Source organism: Homo sapiens, chromosome 21 (assembly GCF_000001405.40).
Source record: "Homo sapiens chromosome 21, GRCh38.p14 Primary Assembly".
NCBI classification, from domain to species: domain Eukaryota; kingdom Metazoa; phylum Chordata; class Mammalia; order Primates; family Hominidae; genus Homo; species Homo sapiens.
In genome coordinates this window covers 5499013-5510423 of record NC_000021.9, presented here as the reverse complement: position 1 = coordinate 5510423, position 11411 = coordinate 5499013, and the positions used below count along the sequence as shown (strand labels likewise).

The window sequence follows — 11411 nt, the reverse complement described above, 5'->3', positions numbered from 1 at the left end:
TTCCTGGAGGCTCCATTCTGGTCTGTTCATTTGGAAGTTTCAGGCTGTCTGTGAGGAAGTAACAAAAGAGATGTCTCAAAGCAGGTTGTGGGGCACAGGCTGAGCCCTTGTCTCCCTCCCTAGTCCCTCTGCAGACACGGGGCTGGAAGAAGGACCTGTGGATAATGAGGGAACTGCTCTTCGAGAACCGGCCTGAGCAGCTGCTTCAAGAAAGAGCCACATTAAAGGTGCCTATAGCCCCTGATGAGGGAATGGCAGCCTCAGGCCCGCCTGCCATCTGTGAGCAGGTTTTCTTGCTAACAGGATGAAAGCAAAGAAAGCTGGAATGAGCCCAGCCCTCTCAGGCAGCTTGAAGGCTGTTGGGGCTCTTTCCAGGCCTTCTAGCCTTATGCTTTTTGGCAGGCCACTTAGGCACCTTTTTCCAGCCTCTGAGACTTCCATGCTCTGGAAGGAGAGGGTCCCACTTTTCACTAGGCTATGGGGCAGGCCCATCCAGCTCCCGGCTGCCACTAACAACCATGGGGCTCTCACCTGGGCACCCACTGCCCAAACATGGCCCTTCTAAGGCAGAAGATCATGTGTCTTGCAGTTTCAGCTTGCTAGGGCTTAAAAGTTATCAGTGCTGTTATTAAGATAGGGAAGTGAGAAAGGAAAACTTGCTGTAAAAGTTTCCCATAATCTTACCACGGAGATCATCAGCACAGATGACAGCACAGGTGGGGCTGCTGGGGAGGCTGAGGGAGAGTGTCCAGCCTGTTCTGCCAGCTGGTCCTTGCCAGGGGTGTCTCGTGACCCAGTCCCTTAGAGAAGCATGCAGATATCTTAGCAAGTATCTGGAAGGTGCAGATCAGGGCAACCCAGCACCACTGATGGTGGAGTGGGCCTACCTCCCATCAAGCTGTGTCTCCACAGCTGACCCTTGAAGCCAGGAGGTGATTTACAACATGTGCAAGGCAGTGAGCTCCATCAGCTGTGTGGCCTTCAACATTCACTTCAACTCGGACATCTCACCAGAAAGCAGTGGGGACTGGCCAATGCAGAAGCCTGCAAAGTGGAACAGAGCGTCATGGGGTGGGGGATGTGGGGCCTGCCTGCTCATCTGAGCACTGCTCCCTGAGGGTGTGATCTGCAGGCTTCCTGAAGGAGGGCTGTGAGCTCATCTGCGAGGCCCTGAGCCTGTGGAACATGGCTGAGGCCAAGCCCATGGGGATTTGTGTCTACTTGCACCTCCTTGCTCATCTCAGTACACTACAGGTGACTGTGCCGAGGTGGGCCTTGAGCATCCCCTGGGCTGTGTTAGCAAAGGGCTCTGGGCCTGGCCTGGCATTGAGGGATGGCAAATAAGGGGCCTGGGGTTGCATTGTCACCCCCTATGGTAGCATAAAATGAGAGAGTCCGACCTGCAGGACTGGAACCCTATCAAGGGGGTTAGGAGGCTGCTCACTTTCCCTCAGGGACCCATGTGGAGGAGCTGAGGGAGGTTAAGGAGACCCTAGGGACTCACTTGTTCTGTCTGGGCTTCCCTCTGCTCCATCGTTTGATGACCATTTTCTGGGAAGAGCTCAGGAACCTCCTGTGCTCTAGTGAGACGGGGCCTCCCCTCACAGGGTATTCTGAGACTGTGAGTGAGAAGCTAACACAGTGCCTTGCAATACTCACGGGAGCTGTCATCCTCTGTGACCATCACGTGGCCTTGTAGTGTTCAGACTGCCTGGCCTGCCTGGGGTTTGGTGAGGCTGTTTTGTGGTCAGCTGCTTTAGAAGCTCACTTTCTCTGCAATCAAACAGTGACTGTTTTCATGTCTGTTTATGGGTTTAAAAAATCCTAATATTTCCTTTATAGTAGTTTCAGCTTGCATGTGTTTATTTGTATAAATTTTAGTGGAATAAAGAGAGCTTAAGACAACAGCATTTTAAGGTCTTAATGAGGCATAGACTTTCATGTCACAACAGCTAATGTTGACCTCTGTTTGCTACCTTTGTGTAAAGTATACACATAAAGTACAGCCAGAGGTGACTAGAGCTGAGCTGCTTGGGCTTGCTTGCTGGCCTGCAGTCAGGTGGACTCTGGCTGCAAGGCGGTGCCCACCCTGGATCTACATCCCCCACTCTCTCTCCTTAGTCTCTGAGTAACCAACAAGGCCGTGCTAATGAGCGGGCGAGTGATGGGCATCGCGTACCCCAATACTATCTGGGAAGATTTGAATGCCAACTGGGCTGGAGCTGTTGGGATTAGGGGCTGTGGCTGCCTTGGCTTGTCATGGTGCCACCCACAGATGTGCCTGCCCTGTGCTGCTTCTCCAGCAACCGGCTGCCCATGGCCCTGAGCCTGTCACACCATGCTTGCTACCTCATGCTACTTGTGTTTGAAAAACCCATCCAGAGATGGCATTGCTGGATGTGAGTGCTGAAAAGGGGGCAGCACCTTTGTCCTGGGGGATTAGGAGCTGACCAGATTCCTCTTGACTCCCTCCCAGAACAAGAGGGGCAGGTGCTGCAATTAATGATGCCCCCCAGAAGATGTGTTTGCACTGGCTGAGGGAATACACGATGCAGAGACCTAAATGAAGACACGTGAATGGGGTGTGTGGGCATCAGTTAGCAACTGGGAAACAGGTGCCTCTCAGGCCTCTCGTGCTCCAGCAAGAGTGGAATATGCCTGTGCCCATGAGTGTAGACATCTGGAGTGTATACATTTGGCTGCTGCTTTTGCTGCCACTATCCCCAGGTCCAACCTGGCTTGAAGTCCAGGTTTTAAGTAAAAAAATAGGAGGCTTTTTGCCATACAGCTACTTGAGAGGCTGAGGTGAAAGCATCACTGGAGGCTAAGAGTTTGAGGCTGCAGTGACCCATGATTCAGCCACTGCACTGTCAGAGTGAGACCTGCGTGCACCCTTCTACAGATAATAGCTCTGGGGCATTTGGGGATCCCTACAGTCCGGGACATCTCCCTGTCCCCTGCTGCCTGTGCTTCTTCCCTTGCCTGCTGTCAGAGCCTAACATGGAGGAGGAGGTTGCTGCCCTGTGAGCCTGAGGGAGCTGTGTCTGACTGGGACTTCTGTCTGGGGTTTTGTGAAGAGCTACTTATGAGTATGGTCTGTACAGATACCTTGTTTCAAAGAAAGTGAGCATGAGCTAGCAAGTGTAGCCACCCCACAGCTGATAAACAACTTTGTCTTGTTTTTAAATCATCAATCTTCATTTCACATTGGAATAAAGTAATTGAAGCCTGCTACCCCAGCCTCGCCCGTGTGTTCTGTAACCCAGACTCATTTCGTTGTGTGGGCTGTTGTCAGAAATGTTATAAAAAAAATTACGCATAAATAATATCAAATGTAAAATTATGCTTATAATGTCACTTGAGTGGGTGGTAAGAGGGTAGAGTCACAGGAAATCTGTTGGGGTTTACACCCCTGATACTTACCAAGCTCATGAGAGTGTGGCAGAGGTGATCATCACCTGACATTTGTGGCAGAAGAGAAAAGTCCAGCCTGAAGGCCAGGTAAGGGAGAGGTGCCAGGTTGTGGGGCCAGGCCCTGCGCATGCTGGGCCTGTTATGTCACTGAACATCTAACTGCCCGGGAACCGGCTCTTTTCACATCATCTGAGGTAAGAGGATGGAGAAGCACTCTCCAGAAGTCACACTGCGCTGGGAGAATAGAGGAGAGCCTACAACTCACCATCCTAAGGTAGGTTTTACATTGAGCTGAACTGTCTTCGAGAGCTAATGAGATGGGAGGAAGACAGTCCCCCAGGTGCACCTGACAGCCAGAGCCTATGAAGTTAGGGGGGTTGTGTGGGGGTGGCCTGTTCCTATGAGAAGAGGAGCTTAAAGCTACTAAAGCTGGTGGCTGCTGCTCTGCCATCCCTCTACAGAGCAGGCAGGTCCTCAGCTGCATGTATAGCTGAATGTCTTTTGGAGTGTTAGAGAGTCCTCTATGTCTTAGAAATTTTGAAAAGAAAAACAAATCTCAATTTTAATGTTGATTAGTTTCTCTGAGCCAGTTGGGAAAAAGATGTCCTTCACCTCAAAGATTTAAGTGACACCGAAGGGTAGCCACCAGTGTCTCGGCCACTGAAGCCTCATGCATGCTCTCACTACCAGTTTGATTTGCAGCCCCATAGTTGTGTTGTACTACATATTCTTTCCTCTGGCCTTGTCCAGTGAACACGGTTCACATGGCTAACACCACTTCTTGAGATGCGAGCACCATGCAAAGCTGAGAACGGATTGGGTTTTGTGACGATTGTGCCTCCTCCTCACCTGAGAGGCCCATTTTTCCTGGTTGATTCATTAAGTGTATTAGTGCTGTCAGTCGCCTCTGGACAATTGAAATGACAAGTGGCTGTTGATTCATAAAGAAAATGAAGGCTTTAGATGTGAAACCCTCGTTTTCTCTTGTCCTTCTCTTAGGTGAAAGATTTTATTTTTTTCAAAAGGCTACATACTGGTATCCCAGCAGGTGTAGTGTGAGAACTGGCATATGTTAGGCTATGGTGTCAGTGTGGATGGGCAATTCTTCAAGATGGAAAACCAAGTCTCACTGAGTTGCTGGAGCCACAGTGACCTTTCTCCACATCCCCCACCATGGGCTTTCACTTTTCTCCTGTGCTTGAATTTTTTTCACATACAAATTCTTTATACACACACACAGACAGACACACACATATCTCACTCTGTCAATGCAGTGGCTGAATCATGGGTCACTGCATCTTCAAATTCTTAGGCTCCAGTGATGCTTTCAAATCAGCCTCTCAAGTAGCTGGGACTACAGGCATGCAAAGCTACACCCAGACAATTTTTAAATATTTTTCTAGAGACTGAGCCTACTTATGTTGCTCAGACTCGTCTTGAACTCCTGGGATCAAGCGATCATCCCACCTTGGCCACCCAAAGTGTTTAGATTACAGGTATGAGCTAGCACTCTCAGCAAAAATATATTTTAAAGAACCGTTACAACCAAATTATGAGTTATCATTATGCCACTGCCCTCCAGCCTGGGCACCAGAGCAAGACCTTGTATCCAAAAACTAAGCAAAACTAAGCAAGAACAAAAAAAAAACCTTATAACTAAATTAAACTTTGAAGATTGTGTCATCTGTGTCCTTCCCTGCCCTCCAAGCTATCAATGTTAAATATAATGGTTATTGAGAAAATGGTTAGATATTATTAAGAAATTTCTATATATCCTCCAGCTGAGAATAGGTATTCTGATGTGGCCCAAATATTTTCTCACCGCTACCTTCAGGGTCTAAACTAGCAAGTCAGGACACCTGCAGAGGACAGTTGACCATTTTCAAATAGAAAGAGAAATACCCCGTTCATGAGAGTAATCCAGTGATTTTCAAAAAGACAAGACACACTGACATCCAGCGCAGTCAGGGCACAATTACCTTGGAAAAATCACCTCACACAGAATGGTTGAGGAGACTTTCTAAGGTGAGCAAATTTGGGAAACATAATCCTTTCTTATTTATTTCCAGCCCCCGCTGCCCCCCTGATTCCTAATGGTCACACAACAGTGTGGTCAGCAGTGGGGTGCAGTGTTGTGAGAGAGGGGCTCAGGGATGGGATGAAGGTCTTTACCGCGTTACAAAAATGCAGGTTAAAAAGTTGCTAAAAAGATGTCTAAATATTCTAATTCGTACTGTTACATAGCTGCTAAGATGCATTATACAACAGACCCAGGTAAGGGAAAGAGCACGTGCATTTCAAGTCTCAGCTCACGTCTGAATTAGCTGTGATACTCTGGGCACGTGACCCCAAATATAGGAGCCTGTTTGCCTGTCAACCCAAAACAATCCTAAGCAAAAACAACAAAGCTTGAGGCATCCTGCTACCCGACTTCAAACTATACTACAAGGCTACAGTAACCAAAACAGCACAGTACTGATACCAAAACAGATATATAGACAAATGGAACAGAACAGAGGCCTCAGAAATAACATCACACATCTACAACCATCTGATCTCCGACAAACCTGACAAAAACAAGCAATGGGGAAAGATTTCCTACTTACCAAATGGTGCTGAAAGAACTGGCTAGCCACATTCAGAAAACAGAAATTGTACCCCTTCCTTACACCTTATGCAAACATTATCTTAAGATGGATTAAAGTCTTAAATGTAAAACACCAAACCATAAAAACCCTAGAAGAAAACCTAGGCAATACCATTCAGGACATAGGCATGAGCAAAGACTTCATGAATAAAATACCAAAAGCAATCACAACAAAAGCTAAAATTGACAAATGAGATCTAACTAAACTAACGAGCTTCTGCACAGCAAAAGAAGCTATCACCAGAGTGACCAGGCAACCTACAGAGTGAAAGAAAATTTTTGCACTCTATCCATGTGTCAGAGGTCTAATATCCAGAATCTACAAAGAACTTAAACAAATTCACACACACACAAAAAAAAACCATCAAAAAGTGGGCACAGAATATAAACAGACTCTTTTCAAAAGAAGATATTTGGCTGGGCGCGGTTGATCAAGTCTGTAATCCCAGCACTTTCAGCCGTGGAGGCAGGTGGATCATGAGGTCAGGTGTTCAAGACCAGCCTGGGCCGCATGGCGACACCGCATTTCTACTAAAAACACAAAAAATTAGTAGGATGTGTTGGCGGGTGACCTGTAATCCCAGCTTCTGGGGAGGCTAAGGCAGGAGAATCACTTGAACCTGGGTGGCAGATGTTGCAGTGAGCCGAGATCCTTCCACTGCACTCCAGCCTGGGTGACAGAGCAAGACTCCATCTTAAAAATAATAATAATAAGTAAAATAAATAGAAAAAGAAGAAGGAGAAGGAGAAGAAGAAGAAGAAGAAGAAGAAGAAGAAGAAAAGAAGAAGAAGAAGAAGAAGAAGAAGAAGAAGAAGAAGAAGAAGAAGAAGAAGAAGAAGAAGAAGGGGACCTTTATGTGGTCAACAAACACAAAAAAGAGAAAAGCTCATCATCACTGGAGACTAGAGAAATGCAAATCAAAACCACAATGGGATACCTTCTCACACCATGTTGAATGGCAGTTATTAAAAAGTTAGGAAACAACAGATGCTGGTGAGGCTGTGGAGGAATAGAAACACTTTTACACTGCTGGAGGGAGTGTAAATTAGTTCAACCATTATGGAAGACAGTGTGGTGATTCCTCAAGGATCTAGAACCAGAAATACCATTTGATCCAGCAATCTCATTACTGGGTATATACCCAAAGGAATATAAATCATTCTAGCATAAAGACACATGCACTCATATGTCTATTGCACCACTGTTTGCAATAGCAAAGACTTGGAACCAACCCTAATGCCCATCATTGATAGATTGGAAAAAGAAAATGTGGCACATATACACCATGAAATAATATGCAGCCATAAAAAGAATGAGTTCATGTCCTTTGCAGGGACGTGGATGAAGCTGGGAACCATTAACCTCAGCAAACTAACACGGGAACAGGAAAGCAAACACCATATGTTCTCACTCATATGTGGGAGTTGAAAAATGAGAACACATGGACACCTGGAGCCAAAGATCACACACTAAGGCCTGTTAAGGGGTTGAGGTCAAGGGGAGGGAGAAAATTAGGACAAATACCTAATGCATATGGGGCTTAAAACCTAGATGGCAGGTTGATAGGTGCAGCAAACCACCATGGCACATGTAAAACTATGTAACAAACCTGCACGTTCTGCACATGTATTCCAGAACTTAAAAACAAACTAACAAAAGTGCACTAAGTCTGAGGGGGAGTGGGGGTAAGGGCAGGAGTCAGGCGAGGGTGGGTGCGTCCTGGAGTTTTATCCAGTCATTGACACTGATGTGGGAACCGCCCAATCAGGCGCGCGGTGGCAGAGGAGAGGAAAGGAGGGCGTGGCTTCCTGCATTTGGCGGGATCTGTGTCTCTCGCTGGTGCTGGCACAGGAGCTTGGGATCTGTCTCCTCTTTCGCCTCCTGCACCTTGAGAGCCCTGGGCTACTCTGTCACAGCCCCTGTTGCCCTGCGATCTGTAGGTCCTTGGGGACGCATAGTTAAGGTGCCAGGACATCCTGGAAGCTGGGAAATGGTGAGTATACGGGGTTCGCCATCCCGAGAGGGGAGAACAGACTGTGAAACCGGCAGGACCGGCCTCCCCACGGTTAGCTCCGAGTCTCCCGCAGCTTGGCCCTCAGTCCCCTGTGGCTGCAAGATGGCCGCTGGGCCAGCAGCGAGGACCCCCACGTCCCGTCCGGCCCATCCGGTCCTGTCCCTGGGCAGCGCCCTGCTCTGCGCCCACAGCCATGAGTATTTCCCAAATTGTTCAGGGAGGCCAGATGGGTCATCAGGGAAAAACCGCGAGTGGGTGTTTGCGTGGGAGGAGCTGCGGCCCGTGGGGTCCACAGTCTCTCGTGTTAAAAATTAACGGGAGTCTATGTTAAAAGGTTCATCAGTTTATCTGAACAAAGAGTGATTGGTGAAATGGAAAGCACCCAGCCATGATTTCTGGTCCACCAGAGGGGCATAAAGGAAAGGCTTTCATAAGATGCATGAGAAAGCAACCCAAATTCAAGAATTGGTTCCAGTTATATGGTAGCCTTATTTGAACTATCCAGATGGAAATGTCCTGGTTACATATTCAGAGGTTAATTGCATGTTTGTCATGGGTTAAACCTGCATTTTGCTTCAGGCTAAGATAGTGTTTTATAGGAAATATATTTGAGTTAGGTTTTAGATTTTTTTTTGTTTGTTTTTTGTTTTTTACCTATGAACACAGGGCACTAGAGCCACTTTAGACTAATTTTCTGATCTTTAATTATTTTAACACTCCAGAGGAGGACTGGTTTTCTCCTGTGTTTTTTTAATGTATGGCAAGTGGAACCTCTAATCGACCACCCTGTTTTTCATCCTAACTCAGGCTTGCAGTAAAATTATCAGTTCCCACTTTCTTTGCTGCATTCTCAAACGCAACACATGAGACCAGCTTTCCCTTGCCAATTTACAATGCTGTTAACTATATGTCCTTTATTATACATTTCGTTAAAGTTTTCTATTATTGGGTTTCTTTCTACTTCTCCCTACAGTTCTGGCAATATTTGCTTTTTATATTTAGAAGCCTCCCTTTTGGGTGCATAAATATATAAAGCTATATTCTCTTGAGAAATTAACCTCTATTATTGTATGGTAAACTCATTTCATTCTTGTGAGAGACATTGCTAGAAAGTCTATTTTGTCTAATTTAAGCATTACCATTTCACTCCTTTGGTTATTATTTGCATGGAATATCATTTTCTATCCTTTCACTTTTAGCCTATGCTCTTAATTCATAATTGAGTCTCTTGTAAGCAGCATATTATGAGGTTTAAAAGATTAATTTATCCACTCTGTCTGCTTTAGTCTCTTTTGGCTGCTATAACAGAATATCACACACTGGTAATTAATAAAGAATAGAATTTTATTTGACTCATGATTCTGGAGGCTGGGAAGCCAAAACAACATTATACTGGTATATGTTGAAGGTCTAGTTGCTGGATAATAACATACACAAAGATGTGAGGGAGAGAGAGCTTTTTTTTTTTAATATATAACAGATCCATTCTTGTTATAATTAGCCCATTCCCATAATAAGAACGTTAATCCATTCATGAGGGCAGAGTGCTTATAGCTTAATTAATTTTTAAAGGTTCCACCTGTTAATTCTAACATGTTGGCTATTAAATTTTATCCTAAATTTTGGAGATGACATTCAGTGTACAGCAGTATCTGTTTAGTAGATACTTTAATCTTTTTATTTGTAAGGTAGTGATAGGTAAGCAGTTACTATTGTACATTTGTAGTTTTCTGTCCATTTTAAGTTTGCTTCTTTTTTTTCTGGTTCTGTCTTTCCTGTGGTATTGTTCATTTTTGTTGAGACAAAGTTATGCTTTCTTGCTCAGACTGAAGTGCAGTGGCATATCACAGCTCACTGTAGCCTTAACCTCCTGGGCTCAAATAATCGTCCCACCTTAGCCACCCAAGTAGCTTGGACTGCAGACATGTACCACAACACCCAAGGAGATTTGATTCTTCCACCTTGGCCTCCCAAAGTGTTGGAATTATAAGCAGGAGACACCATATCCAATGTGTAATTTTTGTTGTTTGTGTATGCTTTAATTACTTTCTCTTTTTCTTTACTATTTTTTTTTCCTACTGGTTATCATGAGACTTATGTAAAACATCTTGTATTTTAATAGTCTAGTTTAAGATGATAACAATTTATAGTATTCTGAAATTCAGTATGTATTTACCATTTTAGTGACATTTATACTTTAGTATTTTTCATATTGTTAGTTAGCATTTCATCATATCAATGTGAAGATTTCTTCCAGACCATGGCTGGAGAAGGAAAGAAGGTGTGTTTTGCCTGATTCAGGGACTATAGAGAGAACCAAGTTCTGCAGGCCTGTCATCTAAGTCTCAGGTGAGTATGAATTCTCTTGTGTTTTCCACAGACTGTTGCAGTGTCAGGACCAAGGTCAAATGAGTTATAGCCAAGTCTACAGTAAGATGTGGCAGTATTCTGTTTTGAAGCGAGGACCATGATTGGCAAGCTTGCCACTTGGTCAAGTGCTTACCCTCTAAAGATGTCTTCCTTGGTCTTTGCCTCCAGCTGGGTGTCACAAACTCTGAACTGGATTCCAAGGCTTTCATGAATGCACTTATGTTTGCTGTGGCAGCTGCATTATGTCGTGGGGGATGTGGATGCAGAACCTCCCATTCTGTCGTCTTGCTTATGTTACTCTCCTTTATGTTTCACTTTCTCAAATGAATGTCAAGCAGGTGATTTTCAGATTCAAAAGTTCTAAAATAAATTGCTCAAATTTACACATTATGTAAGCTGTTAATAAAATTTCTTGTAGGTGCTACATATTTATTAAAATTTTTGGTTGTAATTTTAAGCTCACTGTAGGCAGAAAGGAATCATTAAGATTTCTATTCTTTTTTAGTCTGTATCTAAATGACCATATATTTTAATTCCAAATATTTACTTTATACTTCAGTAATGCTCATTGTATTTTGCAAAATTTATATTGTTCTTTTATTTGAAAATATAAGGCTTTTTTTAGCTCCTGAAATCTATATTATAGTCATATAGTTTTATTATAGTATTTGATAAGAAGAGCAGCAACATATTGAGAACAGAATAAAATTCTGCTGTCTTTTTAATGATTATTTATTAAATTCTTCTCATTAAAGCCTATTATTAATGATTGTAATGTATTTACTGTATAATTTTACTGCAATTTATTAAATGCCAATGACTTCTAATGTCTGCTTTTCATGACTGCACACAGTTTAAAGCTGTAGATATCTAAAGGGTTATTTTTCAGCCCGGCACGGTGGCTCATGCCTGTAATCCCAGCACTTTGGGAGGCCAAGGTGGGTGGATCACGAGGTCAGGAGATC

The 11411-nt window shown here is 44.3% G+C and overlaps 2 long non-coding RNA genes across 2 annotated transcripts; one reads left to right on the top strand and one right to left on the bottom strand.

Annotated features, from left to right (window-relative positions):
- Positions 1-702: 702 nt before the first annotated feature.
- On the bottom strand, positions 703-3452 carry LOC105379488 (uncharacterized). Its single transcript, XR_951088.3, has 4 exons — positions 3424-3452; positions 1660-1773; positions 888-1044; positions 703-800 (listed from the first exon to the last, which is right to left on the bottom strand). It is a non-coding gene; the product is annotated as an uncharacterized LOC105379488 (long non-coding RNA).
- Positions 3453-7848: 4396 nt separating this feature from the next.
- LINC01670 (long intergenic non-protein coding RNA 1670) lies at positions 7849-11401 on the top strand. The gene is made up of 3 exons (XR_951086.3): positions 7849-8055; positions 10323-10425; positions 10615-11401. It is a non-coding gene; the product is annotated as a long intergenic non-protein coding RNA 1670 (long non-coding RNA).
- Positions 11402-11411: the final 10 nt, after the last annotated feature.